The sequence below is a fragment of the Homo sapiens genome, chromosome 3 (assembly GCF_000001405.40).
Source record: "Homo sapiens chromosome 3, GRCh38.p14 Primary Assembly".
Lineage (NCBI taxonomy): Eukaryota > Metazoa > Chordata > Mammalia > Primates > Hominidae > Homo > Homo sapiens.
In genome coordinates, this window is record NC_000003.12 from 72,261,889 (window position 1) to 72,287,158 (window position 25,270).

At 46.7% G+C, this 25,270-nt stretch overlaps 1 long non-coding RNA gene across 4 annotated transcripts in view, besides 5 other annotated features; it reads right to left on the reverse strand.

Moving 5' to 3' along the window:
- Positions 4,111-4,220: an enhancer, noted in NCBI's record as "active region_20081". NCBI's record gives its function as "activates an Ori minimal core promoter by ATAC-STARR-seq in GM12878 lymphoblastoid cells {active_cell/tissue: GM12878}" and the evidence as "EXISTENCE:reporter gene assay evidence [ECO:0000049][PMID:35858748]".
- Positions 5,076-5,145: an enhancer, noted in NCBI's record as "active region_20082". NCBI's record gives its function as "activates an Ori minimal core promoter by ATAC-STARR-seq in GM12878 lymphoblastoid cells {active_cell/tissue: GM12878}" and the evidence as "EXISTENCE:reporter gene assay evidence [ECO:0000049][PMID:35858748]".
- Positions 7,120-8,319: an enhancer, noted in NCBI's record as "CDK7 strongly-dependent group 2 enhancer chr3:72318159-72319358 (GRCh37/hg19 assembly coordinates)". NCBI's record gives its function as "activates an origin of replication core promoter dependent on BRD2, BRD4, P300/CBP, MED14 and CDK7 cofactors, with strong dependence on CDK7, by STARR-seq in HCT116 cells {active_cell/tissue: HCT116}" and the evidence as "EXISTENCE:reporter gene assay evidence [ECO:0000049][PMID:35650434]".
- Positions 7,120-8,431: a biological region, named in NCBI's record as "CDK7 strongly-dependent group 2 enhancer GRCh37_chr3:72318159-72319358".
- Positions 8,182-8,431: an enhancer, noted in NCBI's record as "active region_20083". NCBI's record gives its function as "activates an Ori minimal core promoter by ATAC-STARR-seq in GM12878 lymphoblastoid cells {active_cell/tissue: GM12878}" and the evidence as "EXISTENCE:reporter gene assay evidence [ECO:0000049][PMID:35858748]".
- Positions 12,847-25,270, reverse strand: part of LOC105377158 (uncharacterized) — a 32,683-nt gene continuing 20,259 nt past the window's right edge. For 3 of the 4 annotated variants that reach the window (XR_001740749.3, XR_001740750.3, XR_001740748.3), the window contains one exon: positions 12,847-13,464. This is a non-coding gene — a long non-coding RNA (uncharacterized LOC105377158). Of the gene's footprint in view, positions 13,465-22,642; positions 22,705-25,270 lie in introns of those variants that run through there. The other variant, XR_940959.2, reaches the window with a different exon arrangement.

The window sequence follows — 25,270 nt, forward strand, 5'->3', positions numbered from 1 at the left end:
ACCCTTGCCACTGGTGCCTTCATTAAACTTTCTTTAATTATGCTGTTTGAGTATATCATCAGTTCCCTGCTGAGACCTAGACACAGTCACCAAACTTGGAACAAAATATAAAGTATATTTTTGCCACAACTAAGTTTATAAACGATGATGGGCATCTGTCTCTGTGCCAAGCTGAGCGGGTCATGTGGTGCATCTGCCAAGACGCCATTTGGTTGCAAATAACAGAAACCCTGATTCATGCTGCTTTAAATAGAAAATGGGGTATTTTCTCACTTAACAGAAGGTCTGAAGGAAGGCAGTCACTGACACTGATTTCAATGATTTCAGGACCAACCTCTGTGATTCTCTAGGCTTTTCTCTTGTGGACACAAGATGGCTGCTTCAGCTCCAGGCACCTCATCCATGCTTAAGTTGGGAATAAGCTGGCCTTATGAAAATATTAGGTTGGTGCAAAAGTAATTGCGATTTTTGCCATTACTTTTAATGGCAAAAACTGCAATTACTTTTGCACCAACCTAAAAGCATCAATCACTTCTGCGCAGGAAAAAGGAAGATTTCCCAAATGCTGCACCAAGAAGACTCACAGGCTATATCTGGGTAGCCCAGCCACTCTGGCTGCAAGGAAAGCGGGAAGAGAACTATACAGCATTCAATCCTCTGGAGGGGGAGGTATAAAGGGAAAGAGAGTCTGGAAACTGTTTGAAGGTAAGGTAACTCTTCAGCAGGGTCTTGCATTGCACCAAAAAATAACAGAGGTACACCTTGCAATGAGCACAAAATAAGAGGCACAAGTGAGGGTGAAGTCAACCTCCCCATCTCCCATTTCTGGTGTTTACTGGCACGAGTGGGACTTTTGCTAGTCAAGGCAGTAAATGATTCTATTCTGCCAGCAGCCCCGTCCCTTCAATTGTGCTGCCAAAAATATTATTATTTTCACAGTCTAATCGGCCCACAAAAAGTTACAGTAATTCATGTTTTCCTGGTGCAGAGAGCCAAATTCCTGACTCGCCCCAGAGTTAAAAGGCACAGTGGCTTAGGGCAAAGGGCAGAATCCTTCAAATTACCAAACTGAAAGGCTTAAAACAGAATCCAAATCAGGGAATGATGCCTCCCACCCCCCTAGCTCCTCATCTCTGCCCTAAGAATGTGTTCATGTCTTCTCAGCCTCCAAAGGTCCCTTGCACTTTAAGCAAGATCATTCTTATTCCCCAATTTTTCCCCCAGCTCTGCTCAAATATGTAAGCATACAATGACTGTTTGGCTGCCTCATCACTGTCAAATGACACTAGACCAGTTGTGATTTTCTTCTTTCTGCTCATCTGTCTCTTCTCATTTTCTTGACAATAAACATGTATGGTGTGTAATCAATTTTTTTAATTTAGTTTTTTTTTAAACAACACTAGGCATCTATCAGAAGGAAAATGAGAATACCACCCTAGCAAATTATACCATTGCCCCCATTTTGCCCGTCCATGGGGGATTAAAGAAATATACTCCCTAAAGGACACAAGTAGCTGCCAATGATTCGCTGAGTCAGATTCAAGAAGCTTTGGAAGGAGTAGTTCAATCTAGTGGCCTTCTCCCCACTCCTTCTGAGCTTCCTGCACAGTCTGGGGAGAGAAAGGTTAATTCCACACTGTGATTGAGGTTTATCAAATATATCAGACTTTCCTCAAACAGTTTTGGAAATGGCCAAGTAATGGAATGACCTTGCCAAGCTCTTTCCCACTGAATTTCGGAGCCTGTGTGTATTTTGATGGAAATATAATCCATATGTTTGCTTCATTTATACATCCTCATCCACACAGCTCTAAGAGCTAGCTGATTGATGTCCAGGGGCTCTTAGAGACTTTTTGGAGAATTTTTTCCTCAAAAAGGAGGAAGCTGACTTCACTGGCAGCAGTAGGAGCTTGCCTGCCAAACATCTGGGAGTGAGTCAAGACACAGAAGCCAAAGGTCTGGAGAAGAAGATGAAAGATCAGGTATCATCCTTCTCCAGGAATAAGGCTCGTGGCTTTTTTCTGTATCCAGTACTGATTGCTATGGTTCAAATGTCCCCTCCAAAACCTCATGTCAAAATTGAATTGCCATTCCAACAGTATTAAGAGTTGGGACATTTAAGAGATCATTAGGTCATGAGGCCTCTGCCCTCACGGATGGATTAATGCAGTTTCCACAGGGGCAGGTTAGTTATCACAGGAGCGTTCTCGAATAAAAGGATGAGTTTCCTCTCCATCACATGTGCACGCTTCCTCACCACGTGAGGCTTTCTGCCACATTATGATGCCACAAGAAGGCCCTCATCAGATGGCCAAGCAGGTGCCACCACCATGCCCTTTGACTTCCAGCCTCTAGACCCATGAGCTAAATAAATGTCTTTTCTTTATAAATTACCCAGTCTGTGGTATTCTGTTACAGCAGCAGAAAATAGACTGTAATACTTAATAAGCGCCTACTATTTACAGGTGCAGTGTTGCTGTGGGGAGCAGAAAAGCTACAAAAATGATTCTCATCTGTGGATTCTCTCCTCAAGGAGCTACCTAGCAGTTACACTGGGGGCAGCAACCTTTCCGTAAAAGGGCAGATAGTAAATAATGTGGCTTTACTGGCCTGGCGGTCTCTGTGGCAACTCCCCAACTCTGCCAGCAAAGCGTGAAAGTTGTCATAGACAATACGTGAACAAAAGAGGATGCCTATGTTTCAATCAAACTTAATTCACAAACACAGGGCTGGGGCAGATTGGCCCACAGACCATAGTGTACCAATCGCTAGTCCAGCTGGAACCATGTGAAATTGTTGGCATTTGATTGTTCCCTACCTCCACAAACAGCAATTTCTTACGGTTTCACCTAATGGTTAGGGAGAGTAAATAAAGTCAGACAACTAATATGAAGAAGAAAGTACACGAGGCCATGATCATGGTAGAGATGATGTTGTTTGTCTGATGCTTCCGAAATGCAGCGAGCTCATGTTTCTAGCCAGGTGACCTCAAACTCATCTCTCTTCCCTACCCTGCCCTAAGTGCGCCACATGGGCCTCCATTTCCAGTGTGAAAGTACAACCACTGGTTCTGCTAAAGTTGCATTAAAACCTAAAATACTTTGTAGGTTTTAATGGTATTCATGGCAGGGAGGAGGATTGACATGGTTGAAGGTGTTTGAGAAGCACAGGAGTAACTGATATCAACCAGGATGGATTCTTGCAGGTCTTACCAAAGCCTTTGACATGATCATCTTCAGAATCTAGGACATCTAAAGAAGGAGATGGAACATGAAGTATTTCCCCAACTGATTTGTTCGAGAAGACCTTTGTTTATGAAAAGCATCCCTCCAGATTGTGGTTCTGTGAGCTATACCATAGGAAATTCTGAACTTTATGTTTCTAAAGAGAACAGTCTTCTCTCATGGCAGACCCTGTTTCTAGGGCCCACGTGATTCTCACGTGACTCTATTAACAAAGTCGGAGTGGGAAAAGATGGTAAGACAAAGATTCTGCCATCAGCCTGACATCTACCCTGGGGAGGAAGGTTTGACCGAGGATGATCCCAGAAGCAGCACTGATTAGATAGCTGCCACTTTCCATTTTCTGCTTTAAGGGATGTAACTTGACACCCAGACTTGAACCTTTCTGGGAGAATTCATGTAATGACATTATGACATCTTGTGGCCACTTAGAGGAACCCACAGTATTCCCACTAGATTTCAATCCTGAAGGACAAAAGCCCCCATTAAAAGACCACCAGCCAATGGAGTCCCAGGAGGACATCTCCCCTTTTCCTGCTCTGTCTTGGCCCACAGGATAAGTTTCTACCAGTTAGTCTCTTGCAATTCGTAGTGTGGTCTTTGTACCAGCAGGACTAGAAGCATCAGCACCAATGCAAATTCTTCAGCCACCCCAAAGCAACAGAGTCAGAATCAGCATTTTAATAAGAGCCCGAGTGAGTGGAATACGCAGTAAAGCTTGAAGAGTGTTGCTTTGGTCTACCTTTCTTTGTGGGTAAATGCCAAGTTTTGCTTCTTTTTTCAGTATTAGGGGAAAGGCAAGCATCAGACGTGGGCAAGCAGAACGTTAAGCTAGAAGCTCTGCTCTGTGGTTTGAACTATGTCACTGTTTCTAGGAATTTACAAGGACCCAAGAACAAGGCCAATAATTTTGTTTGGCTGTTTTTCCTAGTATTTATTGGATATTTTTGCCAGATCACATGTTAAGCATGCTCCATGCACTCTCTCACTTAACTCCCACAGACTTTGAAGTAGAAACTATTACTAGCCCCACTTTCTAGAGGAGGAGACTAAGTCTAAGAGAGGAAGCGAACTTCCAGCTAACCACGTAGATGGTGATCTCTGCTCAGTCCTCAAAACTCACTAGAGTCAGGGGGAGAAAATAAAAAAGCTATAAACAAATAAGACATAAACAGGAGAGGGAACAACAGCAAATAGGAAATGTCAAGAAGTTTACGGGGATGGAGAATGGACAGAAAAGGACAGCCGATTTGGATCTTGGCTTTCTCCTCTCTAATAAGTGCCTGCAGAGACAGCAGCAAATAAGGAGAGATCATGCAGTGCTGAATCTTGGAAGCTTCTGGAACTGGAGGTACCAGGTACCTCTGGAGGCAGGCTGGGAAGGGTGGTTGAAAGTCATTACAAGCTTAACCACTCCCTTCCCCTATCTTCTCCCCAGGCCCACATTACCAGGCAAGTGCCCCAGCTCTGCAGCTGCAAATGCGTAGCTGACTCTCAGCAGATGCTATGCCAAGGATGCTGGTTTAGGGGACACCAGACCCTACTAAGGATAGGAATGAGGAACTGTACTGAAAACAGGGGAGTAAATGAGCGTCAGTCCATTGAAGAGTGAGGCTCAGACCCTTATCTCCAACTCAGCTCCACAGTGCCATCCTCTAGCTCCTCAGCATCCCGTGACTATGGCCCCCAACACACACACACACACACACACACACACACACACACACACACACACACACACTGTCAACCCCAAGCAGACCCTTAGATGCTTCTTCCCCAGGGAGGCTGGCTGAGCCAAAAGCAAAGACCCAAGGAATTTGATATTTGGGGACTGTATTAGTCTTTTCTCATGCCGCTGATAAAGGCATACCTGAGACTGGGTAATTTATAAAGAAGAAGAGATTTAATGGACTCAGTTCCACATGGCTGGAGAGGCCTCACAATCATGGCGGAAGGTGAAAGCCACATCTTACATAGTGGCAGACAAACAGGGAATGAGAATCAAGCAAAAGGGGTTTCCCCTTATAAAACCATCAGATCTCATGAGATTTACTCCTACCATGAGAACACTATGGGGGAAACCACCCCCATGATTCAATTACCTCCCACCAGGTCCCTCCCACAACACGTGGGAATTATGGGAGCTACAATTCAAGGTGAGACTTGGGTGGGGACACAGCCAAACCATATCAGGGACTCTTTGGAAAAAATGCCCACCCACAGGTTTTTCAGACAACTGCATCCCCCTAGACATGTGAACAGTATTTCCACCTTCACAGAAACCAAAACAGACTAAAAGGGAGAAACAGAGAAGCAGAAGAAGGTTTTCAAAAACATCCTCCGGGCGGGTGTGGTGGCTCACGCCTATAATCCCAGCACTTTGGGAGGCCGAGGGGGGTGGATCACAAGGTCAAGACATCGAGACCATCCTGGCCAACATGGTGAAACCCCGTCTCTACTAAAAATACAAAAACAAGTTGGGTGTAGTGGTGTGCACCTGTAGCTACTCGGGAGGCTGAGGCAGGAGAATCACTTGAACCCGGGAGGCGGAGGTTGCAGTGAGCCGAGATTGCACCACTGCACTCCAACCTGGTGACAGAGCGAGACTCCGTCTCAAAAAAAAAAAAATTCCTCAGAAAGAAAAGATAACATATCCTTTAAACAAGAACAGGATACTCTCAGAGACTAATAGAACTGAGCAGGAGAGTCTGGAAATTAAAAACAAGTAGCTGCTGGGTGCAGTGGCTCACGCCTGTAATCCCAGCACTTTGGGAGGCTAAGGCAGGTGGATCACCTGAGATCAGGAGTTCAAGATCAGCCTGACCAACATGGTGAAACCCATCTCTACTAAAAATACAAAAATTAGTCAGGCTTGGTGGTGCAATCCTATAATCCCAGCTACTCGGGAGGCTGAGGCAAGAGAATCACTTGAACCTGGGAGGCGGAGGTTGCAGTGAGCCAAGATTTTGCCACTGCACTCCAGCCTGGGTGACAGAGCAAGACTCCGTCTCAAAAAAATAATAATAACAAAAATAAAAACAAGTAGGTAACCAAAGCAAGACAGCAATGGGGTTGTGCATTCCAGCCCCTGTTTCTTTGTTTCTTCCCCACTCCTGTTTAACAACTGCTCCTCCCAGTCTCCCTCTCAATGTTGTCATCAGTCACCCACTTACAAAGCCCTAGGAGAACGCTATGGGCCGAATTTTTCTCCAAAAATTCACACGGTGAAGTCTTAACTCCCAGTACTTCAGAATGTTTCTGTATTTAGACATAGGGTCTTTAAAGAGGTAGTAAGATTAAATGAGGTCAAATAAGTGGGCCCTAAAGCACGTGACTGTCCGCACTTGGAGATAGGGCCTTCAAAGTAGGGCAGGCCCTAATCCACCTAATCCAATCTGACCAGTGTCCTTATAAGAAAAGGAAAATTGAATGCAGGATGAGAAGGCAGGGGTGCATGCACACAGAGGGGAGATCATGTGAGGACACAGTGAGAAGGTGGCCGAATGCAAGCCAAGATGAGAGGCCTCAAAATGAAACCAAACCTGCAGGCACCTTACTTGGACTTCTGGCCTCCAGAATCATGAGAAATACATTTCTGTTGTGTCAGCCACCCAGTCTATGGCATTTTGTGATAGTAGCCCTAGCACACTAATACAGAGGACTGTATTGTTCAATTAAGGGTGAATTTTCTTGTTGCAGGAGTTGAGAAACAAACCAACCAATCAGAGAACTGACCCTGAAAGAGTAAATCTTTTCCCAGAGAACAGGACTCTCTAGGCATGAGTGAGATACAAATAGTCTTTTCTGCCTCCTCTTCTTCCCAAGAACTGATAAGGTTGAAAGAAAAGAACTCATCCAGGGAGAGAGGGAGTAAAGGATTCTGCTACAACAGCGACACACCAGCATCATCCTGGGAGACCACCTGCTGATGGCCCAGGCCCAGATGTGAGCTCTTCCCAGGCCTGGACACCCCTACTCCCACCTGCTCACCCTCACTAAGCCACAGGTTCTTTCCCATCTTATAACTGCTCCCTGGAACATTCGGCAGCCAGAGTTAGCTAATCCAATCAGTTTAAAGGCGTTTTGCATAAGCCTGATCATAACCCTCACCTGAGCAGTGTTAAAATAAGCAGGCTCCCTGGATCCTCCCCTGGAGATTCTGATTCAGTGGGTTATTTTGAACACATTGTCCAGAAAATTCCAGTGGAGGTGCATTCGGAAAACATTAGACTAATGCCGCTTAGCAGGATGGCCTCTTTTCTGGAACCAGGGCCTTTGAATGGTGGGGCTCTTTGAAACCCATGAGAGTGCCTCTGCAGCACTGCTCTCTGAGTGACCCTGATGTGTGACCCCTGACAGAGCCATTCAGATGAAGGCTAGCGTGGATATATGGTGACCTCCCTGGGCCAGCCTAAGCCACCCTCAGCAAGGACTAAGGAATGGAAATTCCAGGATGCTGGCTGTAGTCACATGGAAAGCAGTACTTTCTGACCATCAGAGCCACTGTGAAACAACAGAATGTGGCCCTTGGGAGGAAGGGAGTTCCCCATACTTGGAGAAACCCAATGATCAAAGGATGAGCTTTGTCAAAGGAAATTGTACCTTTTACTTGACTCAGATGCCCGATAGATGCTTCCTGGAAGGACAAGAGGGTTGTTTAGAGCCTCACTACTCAAAGTGCGGACCACAGGCCAGCAGCATGAGCCTCACTAGGAGCTTTTAAAGACCTCTAACATCAACTTCATGTCCTAAAATTCCAGCCACCTTGATTCAAGGTTAGGCCCTGGCATAAAGACCCTTAAAATCTCCCCAGTTTATTCTAATGTAAAGCCAGGATTAAAAGCCAGAGAGAGCCAGAGACCCCAAGGGTACCATCTAACTAAGATAACAAGAATCTCTGGCTGGGCTGGTGGGGAATAAACTTGTGAGAGAAGGGAAGAAACATTTGTGAAAAGCTGCAGTCTCTTTTTCACTTTCTTTTCTGCTTACTTCAGCAGGAATTTGTCTCCCAGCTGCCAAAAGCAAAATGACTCAGAGAAGTGACATGACCTGCTCAAGGTCACTCCGTGGATGATGCAAGACTAGCAGGCAAGAATATCTTTGGATTCCTGCTCCGGGGCGTGACGACATCCCGGGCCACTGGGGTGGGGCTGCAAAGTATTAAAAAAAAGGAAGAAGACAAGTTTCCCACCCCTAGATACAGCCTGGCAGTTAAAGCAAGTCAAAATCAAAGTACAGCAGACATAGACATTGTAATAAACTTGTCTTGAGTGCTTACGCGTATATGCTAACCACTGCATTTTCTTTATGTGTGTCACATCATTTCATCTCTGGAACAATCTCATGAGAGACTGTTAGGTCCTATTATTAACTCATGTTTTACTCATGAGGACACTGAGGCTCAGAGTGGTGCAGTAATTTGCCCAAGGTAGCACAGCTTGTAGGTATGATAGCAGAGCCGAGATGCAAACTCAAATTCAAGAACCCAAACACCTAAGCACCGTGGACCACTGCTCTTGCCTAAAAACAGGAAGCACAGAGTGAGGGGGACCTCTGTGAAGGCTGACAGACTTAGGAAAGGCTTCCTGGGGGAAGATGCCTTTCTCTGAGCTTGGCTAGAATGGGTCAAAAAAGAGTAGGTGTGCGGGGCAGAGGTGAGGCTGGGGATGGGGAGCAACAGGCATCAAAACTGAGTGCAATCTAGGATTTAAAATTCAGGTATTCATAGCTGGCATGGTGGCAGGTGCCTGTAATCCCAGCTACTCGGGAGCATGAGACATGACACCCACTGGAACAGAGGTTGCAGTGAGCCGAGATTACGCCACTGCCCTCCAGCCTGGGCAACAGAGGGAGACTCCGCCTCAAAAAAAAAATTAAAAATTAAACAAAATCCAGCTATTGGAGGAAAGGGTGGGCTGGTAAGCCCTTTGGCAGAAAGAAGAGGCAGTTTTTGCTCTGAAGCCCTAGAGAAAATGAATTGCTGAAAAGCAGGGATGGAATAAAATGTGTCCCCTTTAGACTGCTGGATGGGTTCTGAGGTCCTGTGAGAGAGGCAGGCAGGGAGACAAGGAGCTGAGGAAGTTGTAGAAGACCCTGGGAGATGCAGGCTTGAGGAGCTTCTTCAAAGAGCCTAACCCCAGCCACCTATGTTGGGCCCAAGCTTGGCGCTGCCCACGAGTTCTGTGGTCTATTTTCATTATCATCCCACTTTACTCTTCTTACTTTGAAGGGAGGCCAGGCTAGAAAGGAAACCAGGCTCAGATGGGGTCAATGTGCTTGTCCAAGGCCACTTAGCTGAGAGGAGCCCAGCCAAGATGGGAACCCGCTTCTGCCTGACCCAACGCCCATCTCACGCGTTGAGGAAATGAGACTTCCTGCAAGGCATGGCAGAGAAAACATGTACTGTTCTCTGCTCCTTCCTGAGAATAACTCACATGCCAGCAAATAAATTTCTAAAAAGTCATAAATAAGCCTGCAAGGTAAAAAAGAAAAGGGAGAAATGCAAGAAGAGATGTCCAAATACATACGTGTGTGTGTGTGTGTGTGTGTGTGTGCATGTATGTATTTGGAGGCTGAAAACAGGTTGGATGAACTAATGTATCAAAGCTGAAAGCTGAACCAAGACAAAGGGGAAACAATGGGAAGCAAAGTGAACTGGGTCCCAGAACCCCAGAAAACCTCAAGAATTCATCAGCTCTGAATAAAAAGTGCTGGGTGGGCTGGAAGCAAGAGGATTGCTTTAAAAATCTTTAAAAATAAAATCTAGATCTCCAGGTTCCTTCCTCAACGCCAGGCAGCAAGGTGACTACCCCTCCTCCAATCCCACAGAAGAAAAGAAGTTTAACTTCTAGCCAGCTTCAGGAAAATAGGCTCTGGATTTGTGGCTTAGGGGCACAATATAGGATAAGTCTCAGCCACCTAATTCAAAGAAGGGGGATTAAATGAACTCAACACACTGAATGATGAGATATCATCCCCCTCCCAAAAAAGCCGGCTCTTATCTTGGATGACCAACTGTCCTGGTTTTCCTGAGACTGATGCATTCTCAGGGTGATGGATTTTCAGTGCTAAGTCCAGGGACGTCCTAGGTAAATCAGAATGAATTGTCACCCTTCTTCTATCCCTCTGAGACCAGAAGATGTCTTTCTGGGGAACATGACCAGCCAAAGTGAAAAGATCTGCAGAGTAAGAGGCAAGAAGCAAAAGCCCTCATGAGATGACAAGGTCCTCATTCTATAACAAAACCACCCACAACTAGGTCCTGCCCCACACACAGACCTTCTACTCAGCAGATCACAGCATGAGCCTGGTGGTTCGGGGCACAGGGCCCCTGGCAATGCCAGCTGGGTGTGGCAGAGCTGTCTGCGCACAGAGGGCATCAACAGCAGAGGCTGCCTCCAGGCACCTGGGACAGAGCATCCATTGTGCGAAACATCCCCACGGATGCCCAGAAATAGTTAGAGGAGACTCTTTGGTGGGGGTGTCACTGTGTGAGTGCTCAGTGACAAGGCTGGCAAGAGAGCAAGGGCTTATGTGGGACAAGAACAAGCTGGCAGCGCTCCTCACAATAGCCGACATCTGGAATCAACCCAAATGCCCATCAACAAGGGAATGAATGAACAGGTTGCAGTCTGTCCATACAATGAAATATTATTCAGCCATGAAATGGAATGAGGTACTGATTCTGCTACAACAAGGATGGACCTCAAAAACATGATGCTGAGGCATAAAATGTTACATATTGTAGGGTTCAATTTACATGAAATATCCAGAATAGGAAAATCCATTCTGCTGGAAAGCAGATTAGCAGTTGCCAGGGTCGAAGAGTAGAGGGATGGAGGAAGGGGGTGACTGCTTCATAGAGACTGACTTTTGGGGTAATTGGAAATGTTCTGGAAATAGACAGAGGTGATGGTTTCTCAACAAGGTGAATGCAGTCAATGCCACTGACCTGTATGCTTTAAAACAGTTAATTTTCTGTTATGTGAATCTAACATACCTCAATTAAAAAGAAAAAAAGATCAATCTGTCAAGAATGGAGAGGCCTATACCACAGACTCACCTAACCCAAGTAAATACCAGCAAGCGTGTCTCAGAATCTGAGAGCTGCTCCCCTGTCTCCCATCCATCCAGGCCCTGCTCTCAGGAGACCCCAGAGACCCCGGGGGAAGACAGGCTTGCTCCCAGCAAGGCAATGGCCAAACTAAGCCCTAAGACTGCCCCCAACCAGAGTGCAACAGGTAGATCTCATGGTAAGTGTTCTCATTACAATAAAATAAAATCTTAAATAAATAAATACATAAGCCCAAAATTAAAGAGGGACACTCACACACACAGAGCTCTGAGTAGTTTCTTCTCTTCCTCCTCTCACCTGACCTGCAGCAGACCCTCAGGGTCCCAGGCACCCTCCCAGCACCTGGTGAGCCCCGCATTTCTCTGGCATACATGAAGACCTGCTGGTTTGCAGAATGTTCTCATGAGAAATTGTCAATACTCGGATGCCACAGACCATGCTTCGTGCAACTGCAGTCAGGTTTGTTTAAGAAACACAATTAGGAAGGAAAAGCACACTTTTTTTCCCTTGTAAGACCTGAGGGAATTGTTGGTATTCAAGCCGGCTCTCTGGAGGCCTCTTCCTCCTCTGAAGGAACATAAATACACTGCATTCCACCCAGCCACAGACAGACCAGGGCCCTATTACAGACCCAGCCCAGGAATGCACAGCCCCCAACAGCCAACAGAGCTGAGCACTGCCCTGCTGGCTCCACACACAGCTCTCAGGAACTCCAGAACTTCCCGAGCACCTTGTCTGGTGGTGCAACACATTTTTCTTTGCAGCAAAATCGCTTTTTCTTTTTTTCAAGGAATTTTACGTTTAAAACCACAAAACAGAAGGGAGGTTTGTAAGTGGAGCTTTTCTGGTTGATGAAGAGGTAAGGGACTCTAACTTCTCTCCTCCTTATCTTCTTATAGTTCACCTAAGGGACTTCGGGTTTCCCCAAGACACTCAGGGTTCCCCAGGGCACAGTTTGCTAACCCCTGATCTGGTCCCATGTCCTCATGTCAATGTATAATTCTCAAAAAAGTAAGAATGTGACTCTTTCACAAATAGTAAATGAGCACATGTCAAGGATCTCTTTAACCTATGAGTGGGGCGACCAGCAGGACGAGAAAACCAGTTCAAAGCCTTACGGGAAAGACCAAAGTAACTGCATTGGAGGACAGAAAGATTGCTGAACTAAGACAGCAAAGTCAGACTCAGAAATGATGAATGTCCTGAGGGTCAATAAAATCGTATTCTTCGAGGGTATCTTTTACACTGGACAGAAATCATTTTCATGACTACTGGACTGAAATCATTTGCAAGTTATCAATCTTCCAGAAATTAGCATCACACTTTCCAGAGTCTGGGCCTGAACCGGTAGTAAAGAGTAAATCACAGAAAAGTATATTCCCCTCCCTTGAGCAGGGTCAGCAAAAGTGCTCGATAAAGGGGCAGACAGTAAATAATCTTCAGCTTTGTGGGCCATATGGTCTCTGTTGCAACCACTCAAATGCAGCCGTGGTTGCAAAATGAAAGCAGCACAGACAATCTGTACGCGAATGGGTGTGGCTGTGTTCCAATAGAACTTTATTTACAAAAACAGGCAGCAGCCAGATTTGGCCCGTGCCCTGAAGAATTAAATTGCCATTGGGCAGGGCCTGTCTGACAGTGCTTTAATGTGGCATTCAAAGGACACGCAGTCATCTTCTTCCTTATTTCAAAGTTTCAGATGCTTTCTCTTAACACATAGATATGGAAACCACAGAGGGGAAGCAACTGGGCCCAGGGGACACGACCATGCTGGGCTTCCAGCCATAAATTCCTTCTGTCTCCTGGTTCTTTGGAAGCCAAGACACGGCTGGTCTTTCCCACCAGGAGGGCAGGCTGGGCTAAGGTTGAAGCAGCAGAGTTCTCACTTCCCCAAAGAACCTACCTTTGGGAATTTCCAAAGGAAATTTCCTTCTCAGCATCTCCAAAGGGGGCCTTTGATTGAATGAAGAATCTTTGCTCTCTTCACCCACAACAGATGCATGAAGACAGAAAAGCACAAACCCTCGGCAGATCAGTGAGCTTTCTCTTGACGTGCTCCACAGTTTAAAATCAAGTCAAACAGGAGACATCTCCACTAGAACAATTAGTCAGAGACAGCGGTTCATTGTCAGGGTTTCTGGCACATTGCTGCGGGAGAAAGTGAGGAAAAGATTTGACATTGGAGCCTTGGAAGTATTTTTTAATTCAACGGGGAATAAAAGCACTTTGTTCCCTTTTCCTTTCAAAATCAGTGCTTCCCCTTCCAACCTATCACAAATGTCTCTCACTGCATTAGAGCTATGCAAAGAGATTTTTAATGGAATGCTGTCACGTGTGTGTGCACTCGGCAAGGCTCTTTCAGCAAGCAATTCATTGTCTTTGGGAGGAAAAAGAAACGAGTGGGTAAAGAAACACGGGGCTGCTTTGAAAAGGTGCTTACATAAGGGTGTGAGGAGGAGAACATGTTGCTCCATTTTACCCAGCCCCTGCTATGGGCAGGACGTGCTTCACACAGATCCTCATCCAACCCTTGCCACCATCTATGAGCTCAGAACCCAGGCACAGAAGCATATATGTGAGGTCCCAGAATCTAACGTAGGGAGTTCTAAGACCTTGATGTCTATTAGCTAACTTCATTCTCACAGCCACATTGTGAGACAGGCACTTTGATCACCATCCCCATTTTACAGAAGAGGGAATGAAGACACAAGGAGGCTGAGCAAACTGCCCAGGGGCCCACAGCTAGCAAGCGACGAGACTAGGATTTGAATCCAAGCAATTAGTCTCCAGGGACCATGTGTTTGACTGTTACACTCACCTGCTTCCAAGAGCTAAAGTCTAACTTTGTCTCCAAACTAACAGGTGCTGGTGAGAAGAGTAAAAATGAAAGTTCCAATGTTTCTGAGGCCCAGGAAAGAATTCCTAAGTCAAACACCTCAAGAAACAGGTTTTATTTTTATTTTTGGTTGATTTCCTCTTAGGAAAATCAACAGGTTCTATTTTTACTTTTGGTTGATTTGCTCTTAGAAAAATCTGTGACTTGCTATGGCACAAGGAGGGGCAGGAGATCAGGTGAAGTTTCTAGTCCAGGCCTCTGGCTCCTGACAAATGGACTTAAAAAGACATTCAGTCATCTCTTATTTATTGAGAAGTTGTGAAAGAGTCAGGAGGCTTCCAAGATGGCCGAATAGGAACAGCTCCCAGCGAGATTGACGCAGAAGACGGGTGATTTCCGTATTTCCAACTGAGCCTCCACTGGTGATACCCAGGCAAACAGGGTCTGGAGTGGACCTCCAGCAAACTCCAACAGACCTGCAGCTGAGGGGCCTGTCGGTTAGAAGGAAAACTAACAAACAGAAAAGAATAGCATCAACATCAACAAAAAGGACATCCACACCAAAAACTCATCCGTAGGTCACCAACATCAAAGACCAAATGTTGATAAAACCACAAAGATGGGGAGAAACTGGAGCAGAAAGGCTAAAAATTCCAAAAACCATAATGCCTCTTCTCCAAAGAAACACAACTCCTCGCCAGCAACAAAGAAGTTGTTGTAGGGTCTGGGCCAGGCTTCCAGGCCATCTTCACAAATCACAGTTTCCCATAATGAAGATGTGCAACATTAGACTCAGGCTTTCCCTGTCAGTGTCAGGGCCCATGACTCAAGCTGGGCCAGTCAGAGCCTTCCCTGAGAACTTTGCTGGCCCTTTAAGGAAATAAGCACACTCTTTTGGCTAATGGGGTACGCTGATTGGCAATTCTGGGTCATCTCTGAGACTCTGTCACTGACAGCCCTGCCAAGAGGGAGAAGGACAGTTTCCAAAAGGGAGAAATGCAAAGCTGCCAGACAAACAGAAATAACAGATGTGCTCTTGGCTCATCGACTCAACATCACTTAATATAAGAACATCCCCGTGCCACCTTCAAAATGAGACATTCAACCTGGCAAAGGCAATAAGATGCTTCTCCCAATTACCTACAACATCCCTAGTGGAGAAGCCCTTCCTTTTGCTGGTTCACGGAGCCCTGATGTTCCGGTGTCTACCTTCCTTCCAGAAGGTAGGTGCTCCCCAAGATTCATCTGGAACCCCAGCACCAGAGAGTGCAACATGATTTGTCTAAGCTACTCATGGTGGTTTCATCCCCTTGCTGGGGATCAGTCTAAGCATGGGCCTGTGACTCCATTCAGGCTGATGACATGTGACAGGGGATGTCTGTTGATGGGCAGCAGAAATACACAGGAAGAGCCCCTCTCTCTTCTTCCACTGGCTGTTGTCAATGTCTACATATGCTTTCTGGAGCTATGGCAGCCACATTGTGGCTGTGAGGAGGAGGTAGTCAACTCACTGAGGTTGGCGAAGCAGAAAGGTGGCAAAACCATGGGTCTTGCTGTGTAGTAAGCTGCTAAATTAACCAATGCTGGAGCCCACCCTACCTCTAGACTACTACTTCAGTGAAATAATGAATTCCTTATTGTTCATGGCACTTGATAGAGTCAGGCTTTTTGTTTCTTGTGGCTCAAAACATTCTAAGCTAGTGCCATCCCATAGAAAACTAGCAAAACCACAAACGCAAGCCATGCATATAATGTTCAATTTATTTCCTTCCTCCCTCCCTCCCTCCTTTCTTTCTTTCTTTTTCTGTCTTTCTTTCTTTCTTTCCTTCTTTCTTTCCTCCTTTCCTCCTTTCCTTCCTTCCTTCCTTCCTTCCTTCCTTCCTTTCTTTCTTTCTCTCTTTCCTTCCTTCCTTCAGGTTTCTCTCCCATCACCCAGGCTGGAATGCAGTGGTGTGCTCTCGGCTCACTGCTACCTCCACCTCCCTGGCTCAAGCAATCCTCCTGCTTCAGCCTCCTGAGTAGCTGGAACTACAGGCACGCGCCACCATACCTGGCTGATTTTTGTATTTTTAGTAGAGATGGGGTTTCACCAAGTTGGCCAGGCTGATCTTGAACTCCTGATCTCAAGTGATCCACCCACCTCGGCCTCCCAAAGTGCTGGGATTACAGGTATGAGCCACTGTGCATGGGCTAATGTTCAATTTTCTGGCAGCCATAGAGGAAAAAGGTAGAATTCATTTTAATGTATTTTATTTAACCCAGTATATCCAATTGTTATTATTTCAACATAAAATCAATACAAAAAGGTATTAATGAGTTAGAGTTTTTTACAACATTCTTTTCTTTCCAACCAAGTCTTTGAAGTCAGTGCATAGTTTATACTCACAGCACATCTCAGTTCCAATGGGCAACATTTCAAAGCTTAATAGCCACGTGTGGTTCTTAGCTACCAGCCCAAACTGACACCCTACACCATCTTTCTCCTGTCTTTTACTCCTCTCTTTAATCCCTCCATGGAGTGTCTCAGGATTGAGACACTGACCTGAAATCTCTGTCACTCAAAGCCATGGCAAGGACTCTCCATCTGCGGCCTGAGTTCCCCTGGCTTCTTTGTATTTCCACAGATGAGCCATGTGCTTTGCTCAGCCCACAGAGCTCATGCAAAGACAGTTGTGGCCTCTCTTGGCCCATAAGGAGCACCCAGTAAGACAGGGCAAAAAGGAGGTGGGGTCAGAAATCATTTTGACATGCAGATGCCACAGGGAGACACCAAAGGGAAGGGGACAAGGAGTAGGAAAAAGCTAGAGGGCATACCCTGCCCTGGGATCATGGAGAGAAGGCAGCCATGAGGGCAGGGAACAAAGTGACTTAAGTTCTGGTGCCTCAGTTTTCTCATCCATATAATGGGCATATTGATAGTATCCACATGATAGGATTCTGAAGAGGATTAGGTGTGTTAATACATTCAAGGTGCTTAGCGCAGTGCATGTTACATAATGTTTGCTAGTATTTTATTATGTTTTAAAAGAGGGGGAAGAAAGAAAGCTAAAAGGTAAGCAAGCTGATCTGCTGGGATACAGTAGGAAGAGAATGGGAGGAGAGTGGAAAAGAGAGAAAAGGAAGGAGGAGAGAAAAGGAAGGAGGAGGGAAGGAAGGAAAGAAGGAAGGAAGAAAGGAAGGAAGGAGGAAAGGAAAGGAAAGGAAGGGAGGAGGAAGAGGGAGGGCAGGAGGAGTGGGGAAGGAGGGAAAGTGAGGGGAGGGAGGGAGAAAGGATCTTTCCATTGCAACAGCTTCAACTTTGCCCAAAGAGGCAAAGCAAAATCCAAACAGGGTTTACAATGTTTACTCACTCAAAGAACATAAAGAAGATCCAGGATGGAGCAGAGCCAGCTCTGTATTAAATTCCCCAGCTTTCCAGCATCCCGGATTCCCCTGCACGGAGCTTCTCCTCTCCTCTAGTAACAGAAAGGACTTTCATCACTTCTATCTCCCCCTTACTCACAGAGAGCTTCTGAGAGAGCGGTGAAGGGTGGGCAAGGGTTTAAAAAAAAAAAAGTGGGAGAGAGCTGGGAGGGTGCTTAGGAATAGGAGGGGAAGGTGCCCAGAGAAAGGGCCCATCAGAAACCTGCGGCCTGAGCCCCGCCAGTGGCCAGCAGGGCCTCCTTCCAGGATGCTGGGTAGGAAAGGCCGCCAGTGTTTGTCTACTTGCCAAAATTCCAAATGCTCCGAGAGCTGGGGCATAGGATTTATGGGGATATTTTCACTCAAGGTGCTACACTGGGGGCTTTCCATCATGAGCCATAGATGGAGGGAGGGACAGAAGGGCACATAGGGGGAAAGGGAGGAGGAGCTAGCCGGAAGGAGGAGGCAGTAGTGGGGAAGGAAGAGGAGGAGGGAGAGGGCAGCAGGAGAGAAGGTTGGAGAGCAGGGAGGAAGGAGGAGGAGGGAAGGAGTAGGAGGGAGAGAAAGAAGAAAGGAGCAGGGAGGAAGGAGGCGAGGTACGACAGGGAGAGGGCATGGAGGGGAGGGGAGGAAGAGCTAACTCTGAATGTAGCCGGAGCCCAGAAGTTTCCAAGTCTCCCTCCTAGCTCCTCTGTCTTCTGTCCCCACCCACCCACTCATTTCCCATATGAATCCTGAACACCCTCTCCTTCAGGAAGGAGCTGCTGTGGAACAGGCATTCAGGAAAGTAGGGTTCCCATGGAGCTGGGACTCCAGTTTCCCCCAATCACTGGCAAGCTCTTGCTCCACTGCAAGTAATCTTGGCAAGCTCTTCTCCACTCTGATGCCCAATTTCCTCACACTTCTTTCCTTCCTTCCCTCCTTCCCTCCCTCCCTTCCTCCCTCCCTCCCTTCTTTCCTTCCTTCCTTCCTTCTTTCCTTCCTTCCTTCCTTCCTTCCTTCCTTTCCTTTCCTTTTGGAATGGAGTCTTACTCTGTTGCCCAGGCTTCAGTGCAGTGGCACAATCATAGTTCATTGCAGCCTCGAACGCCTGGGCTCCAGTGATCCTCCCACCCCAGCCTCCCCAGTAGCTGGGACCACCATCCCCAATTGCCTCGTTTTTAAAGTGGTGGATAGGGGCTGGGCTAGATGAGCTCCTAGCTTTCTCTCAGCTTGTGCTTCTGGAATTTGTTTGACATTTAATAACCAAAATCAACTTTTCCTAGTACCCTATGTAACAAGTTCTATGGCCATCCCCATTTTACAGATGAAGAGAGGAGGCTTGGAGCTAAATTGTCCAAGACTACTTGTCCAGGAGCTGGCAGAACTGAGGTTTGAATCCAACCTGTGCAGCCTTAAAGCTCACCTGTCTCCCTAACCACCACTGGAAAGCCTCTCTAATCCGGAAGTGTGGGCAGACCTATCTGTTTCTCCTTCTACCCTTCCAGAAGCCCAAACGTTAGCCAGGCACATGGCTGCCCAGAATCAAAATGACGTGTGCAACTCTCTGGCAGCTACATATGGCTGTTGACTGTTCTGGCCAACGGGATGTGTAGGGAAGTGAAATGTACAACCATGGGTCATGCCCCAACAAGGAAGGTGCACGCTTCCTCTACCTGCTCTCCCTTTCCTGCCCACACAATGTGAGTCTGGTGATAAACTATCTTGGTAGGGCCAGGACTAGAGGGAGGTCAGGGAGGCACCTAGAGTACAAAATTTACAGAGGCGCTCACTCTTTGGGTTGCAAAATGCAGACCAAGAAGAAAGGCCTGGGTGAATGTTGTTCCCTGTACCTTACTCACTTCATCCTATTCCTGGCCTTGTATTTTGGAGCATATGGAAAGGGCAAGATGCTTAGAATGTGGGAGCCCCTGCATTGTGGAGCAGAGCCCCATCTCAACCACTAACAACTCACTGGGGCTGAAGGTGGGGTGGGTGGGCAGGAAGCATTATGGAGCATGGAGAAGAGACTACTTTGGTCAGCATGTTTTGCACTATCTCCAGCTGCTTCCTCAGCAGGGGCTGAGGGGCCCATGCTCCCCAAATGCATTTTTGTCCCTCCAATCCATTCTCCAAGCTACAGCTGGGAGAATCTTTCCAAAACAAGATGTTTTCCATTGTTCTCAAAATAACACACAAGAATAACAAGCAGAAGAGCATCCCTCACTGGCCCACCAGGTCCTGCCCCATCTGGTCCCTTCCTTCCTCCACGGATCTCTTGCACCACTCTCTGTGATTAGCCACCAAACACACTCGAGCTCCCTGAAACCCCCACCAGGGCATATGGTGCCTCTCAGCCTGGAACATCCTCCCCATCCCCTCTCGCTTCGCCTCCTTGTTTGTTCCCTGGCCTTCAGATCTTAGCTTAAGTGTCACTTCCTCGAGGACACCTCCCCCCACCCCTGACAGGCCAGCTCCCACCATATGCATGCCTGCAGCCCCCATGTTCTCTCCCCTTATGGCTCTCCTCGCAGATGTTGCTTCTCCCTGGTTTGTGCCATCAAGTCATTATTGTCTCCCTTCAAGACTGTGGGGACACCAAAGCCATTTATTTCTCATTCACCTCGCAATCTTCCAGGTCTAGCACAGTGTCTGGCACCTGATGATGCTCGATAAATGTTTGGCAAATGAGTAAATGAAAGAGGCTGCTATGGTTTGAACGTTTGTCCCCTCCGAAATGCATGTTGAAATTTAATCTCCAATGTGGCAGGATTGGGAGGTGGAGCCTTTAAGAGGTCATGAGAGCTCTGCCCTCAGGAATGGATGAATGGGTTAATGGATTATCATGGCAGTGGGACTGGTGGGTTTATAGGAAGAGGAAGAGAGATTTGGACTAGTACACTCGGTCCCCTCGCCCTGTGATGCCCTGAGCCATCCCAGGACTCTACAGAGTCCCCATCAGCAAGAAGGTCCTCACCAGACGTGGCCCCAGGATCTTGGACTTCTCAGCCTCCATATATATGAGAAATATTTTTTTCTTCATATACTACCCAGTTTCAGATAGTCTGTTAAAAGCAACAAAAGACAGACTAAAACAGAGACCCTGGGACTGTGGGGGCACCTGGGCACAGTGGATGAGGCTAAGGCAGCCAAGAGCAATGCCAGGGCTGAGCTACCAAGAAACAGATCCTCATACAAGTCACACCCTCTGTCTCCGTCTGACTTGGCCTACGATACACTGGTTCTAAGGAGATCAGAAGAATACCTCAGAGCCTACCACGGCCCTCCCTTCCATTCCAAAGTCATGGCTTATTAACTACCTATCTGCTCTGGGCAAGTCACGCCTCAGAGCCTCAGTTTTACCACCTATAAAGTGGGAGAATCCAAGGGATCTGCCAGTCTACTTTTTTTGAGATTATCGTGATTCTCAAAATGAGATAATGTAAAGAAACATGAAACAAATTAAAATTATTTCTATTGCCCCACTGAGAAGTGGGGTCTATTTTCTTCATCCTCGGAACCTGGGCTGCCCCTGTGACTGCTTTCACAAATGGAATATGGAAGAAGTGACTACATGCCAGCTCCAGGCCTCACTTTTAAGAGAACAGCAGCTTCCACTTCCTCTTTGAAACTTAGCCACCTTGCTGTGAGGAAGCCCAAGCAGCCTTGTGGAGGAGCCTACATGAAGGAAAACTGAAGCAGCCCCAGCTGAGCTCACAGCTGGCAGCCAGCACCGGTTTGCCTGCTATGTGAGTGAGCTTTCTTGGAAAAGCCTCTAGTGCCAGTTGAGCTGCCCATCAAACCCTGCCAAAGTTGCAAAACTGTGAGAAGATAGATTAAAAAAAAATTGTTGTTGTTTTAAATCACGAAATTCTTTGGAGAGGAGGGAGAAAATGGGATTTATTGTGCAGCAGTAGATAACCAAAGCAACATTCTTTGGACTTGTGTAGTTCTTACTACTTGCCTATATCTCCAACCCAGGGCAGTACTGTTCCCCTGGGGGTGTTTTGAAAATGAGAGTAGGGCAGGGTGGACATATTTTTGTTTTTTGTTTGTCAGAATGACCAGGTTTGGGGAGTGGGAGAGATTGTGCTACTGGCATTTAGTGCCAACAGGACCAGGGATATTGAATGTTCTACAATGCTTCAGATAGTCACCCACAATGAATTGCCCCACATAAAATGACAATAGTGGTCCCATAGAAAAAAAGTAAGGCCCTGAATGGAAAAAGGGTTTAAAGATAAAGATAGAGATGAAATTAAAAAATATAATAATTCAGGCCAGGAGCAATGTCTCATGCTTGTAATCTCGGTGCTTTGGGAGGCCAAGGTGGGATAATTGCTTAAGGGCATGAGTTCGAGAGCATCCTGGGCAATATGCAAGACACATTACTACAAAATTAAACATTAAAAAAGTGTCCAGGTCTGATGGCACACAGCTGTAGTCCTAGCTACTCAGGAGGCTGAGACAGGAGGATCCCTTGAGTCCAGGAATTCGAGGGTGCAGTGAGCTATAATTGTGCCACTGCACTCCAGCCTGGGCAACAGAGTACAAACCTTGACTCTAATTTTTTTTTTAATTAAAAAAAAATGGTGTAAACGGCTTTCTAAGGAAAGAAAAATAGGATTCATCTCAAAGCCAACTTTGATTGCTCAGAGTGGCTGCCTGGAGGGTTGTACAGAGAATGTGTTTTGGAGATGCACGTGAACTGAGCACAGAAATGGTGCTGTGATGAACTAGTGATGTCTGCCACTGGCAAGGAAAGGGAGAGTGATGGCCTTTAAGTAGGGTGACTATATCCTTTAGCATCCAAACTGGAAGACTTTTAGGAGGAAAGGGGGCACTAATAATAAGTACACTGGGAAAACAGGCATAAGCTGGGACTGTCCCAGTAAAATCAGGACACCTGCTCATCCCATGCCATGGATGTAGTCACTAGTGCACCCTGATATGTAGCTTAGAGGCAACCCAAATAGGGGCTGTCTAGACCTACAAGCCCCTGAGATCCTAAACGTTAATTTTTCTTTTAAGTACTCTGTTTCGGTGTGTGGTTAGGTATGAAGAATTGTTCTAAAGAACGCATTAAAAATTAATTAAAAGAGTTTCCTCTAATATTTAATCTTACCAGCCATGTACTCTGAGTGATGTATTCCCAGTCAGCGTGTCAGGTCCTGAATAATTAAAAGAGAAGGGGAGTGTGATTCAGCCCCTTGAGGAGGCTTTCCAGGGTTTTAGAATCAGCACAGACCCAGGATTGCATCAGCTAAGGAAAAGTTCTGCATTGACCAGCAGGGTCCAGTTCAGTCTCTACTCTAAGGCCGGCTTCACCACAAGGACAGGTACAGTCCAGGCTAATAGAAGCCTCAGAGAGAGACGGAGATGAATTCGGTTCTGCTGAGCCATCAGCCCCCAAGACATCTCATCCTTACCTCCCTTCCCTCCCTGATAAGGAGGGAGAGGCAGCAGTGAATTATGGAAGCCTTCCCAGGGCTCCCCCATGAGTTTAGCGCCTCCATATTTCCTCATCTCCAAGATGCATGCCCCTTCATTTTGTAACATTTCGGAAATCAAGACATGAGTTAAAATCAATGGGGGGATTTAAGGCAGTACTTCTTGGGAGGTGTCACGAAACCTCCCAAGAGCTAAGAGACTTGCTCCCAGCTGTACCCTGGCTCTGCCATTTCCCAACTGGGTGGCCCCAGGCAAACTGCACCTTCTCTGTAAATTGAGGCTATTAATAATAGCACCTAATCGATAATAAATAAAAGGAGGCTTGAGTGCAGTGTCTGGCAGGTAGTAAGATCCCAACATATGTTAGCTATTGTTTCTTCTTGTTTATCTTCTGCATGCTGTTATTAAATGGGTCTAAAAATCCTCTTCAGTGCATCTGCAGTACTCTCAGCCTCAGAAAGAGCTCAAAAGTAATGACTACGGAGCTCAATCTTTGGTGACCACCAGTATGGATTATGGCCTATTTTTGGAGTATTGGGTAGGAGACATTCCTATTTGATAGCAGGACTTGACTCAATATCGTTTCTACTCAGCTAAATGTGGGAAAGATAAAGATCATCTTCCCAACTTCCAACCCTCCTTTTTACCATAATTTGATGCATTCAGCCTAAGACATGAGCTTTCTTTTCTTTTAGCAACGGGCGTTCATCATTAGGGCAGTGGAAAGGGAGAAAAAAGAAGGAGGAGAATTTTCATCTGGGCACCAGTACACAAAATAAGGCTGTCAGCCGTCATGGCAAGTGAAGAAAGTTGCAGGCCCAGTGGTTCCAAGAGATGGTGAAAAAAACAAGTTTTGGATCTATACAGCCCTGAGCCTGCCATCCAGTTCCCCACAGGCTCCCCCCTCTGTCATATGTGGTTGTTGGGATAATCTATTGAAATAATGCATGCAAGCTATGTAAGATACAGCCAGCCTCCTACTAAACCCTCAGTAAATGTTGACTGTTATTTTTGAGATCTAGAAGTCACTCAGACCCATATTGGGCAGGATTGTTAAGGACAAATAACAGAATCTACTCACGCTTGCTTAACCAGAAAAAAAAATAATGTATTAGAGGAGATAAGCTCGCTCACAGCACAGCAACCCGAGGAGGACTATGTACGGAAGGCCACTCTGAAGCTTCACAGCCAGGAGCCATGTCCGGCCACACCGTGGGGACTTCTGAGAAAACACTGCTCTTCTGTCATTGAGGAAAGCTCCTCAGACACACAGAACCACTATCCAGGGCCCCTCTCGACTGCCCCTGAAGGGCAGAATTCCTTGGCCACTGTGCTTGCCAGATGATGGGGTTCCCTTTGTGTGGCCGTGTCCTCGGAGTGCTCACTTCTGAACACTGGGCTCCCGTGGGGCCCTCGAATGTGCAGGCCCTTGCAGGGTCATGTTGTGAAATGCCAGGGAGTCCAGCAATGCATGTCTGCTTCCTTCCATCCTGTTAAGGCTGGACTCAAAACAAGGAAAATTGCCTAAAATGGAGGAAGAGGGTTTCTGAGTGATGGGCAGCCACAAATGACCAATGTCTGCTCCATGCTACTCTGTCCCTTGGGATTTGGGTCAACTCGGCTCAGACCCCTGCACCCAGCCTGCATGATGCCAGGGCCCTTCCCACAATGGCAACAGGTTGCCCACCTTACTTCTCCACCTTTGTGTCTGCTGTGCCTGCTCAGTTTGGACTGTACATGGACCCTGGCCCCTTCACTTGCTTTACAAGAATCCTGCCACCTGCATGAATTGCACAGCTTAGTAACTTTCCAGAAGGCTTGAGGAGTCACCAGGAGAGATTATCCTGCCCACATCTTCTCCCTCGGAGTCCCACCATCTCTCCCCTGGCCTCTGCTCCCTTCTAAAAGCCCAGGCTCCCCACCCATGACCCTCTGCCTCAAATGGCCCCTGAGAAGCAACAGCTTAGCCTTCCCTGAGATTCTGTGGGGAGTAGTCCCACCAGACAGCAGCCTCCCAAGGGCTGTGCCCAAGAATTCTGATTAATGTCATTTCCCCACTCCTGTAAATTGCCGTCTCCATCATCGTTGATGTCATCTTCATCTCCCTAAGATGCTAGAGCTTTTTGCTGGGGGCAGGGACCTTTAGGGTCTTCAAAGTTTCCCAGTTGGTCAAAGACTAGCTACTGGTCCATTTAGCTCAAGGATGCCAGCCTCTGGCTGAAATTGTAATCAGGAAGATAAAGCAGGGGCTGTTTGACTGAGTATCATCCCATGCCTGTCTTTCTC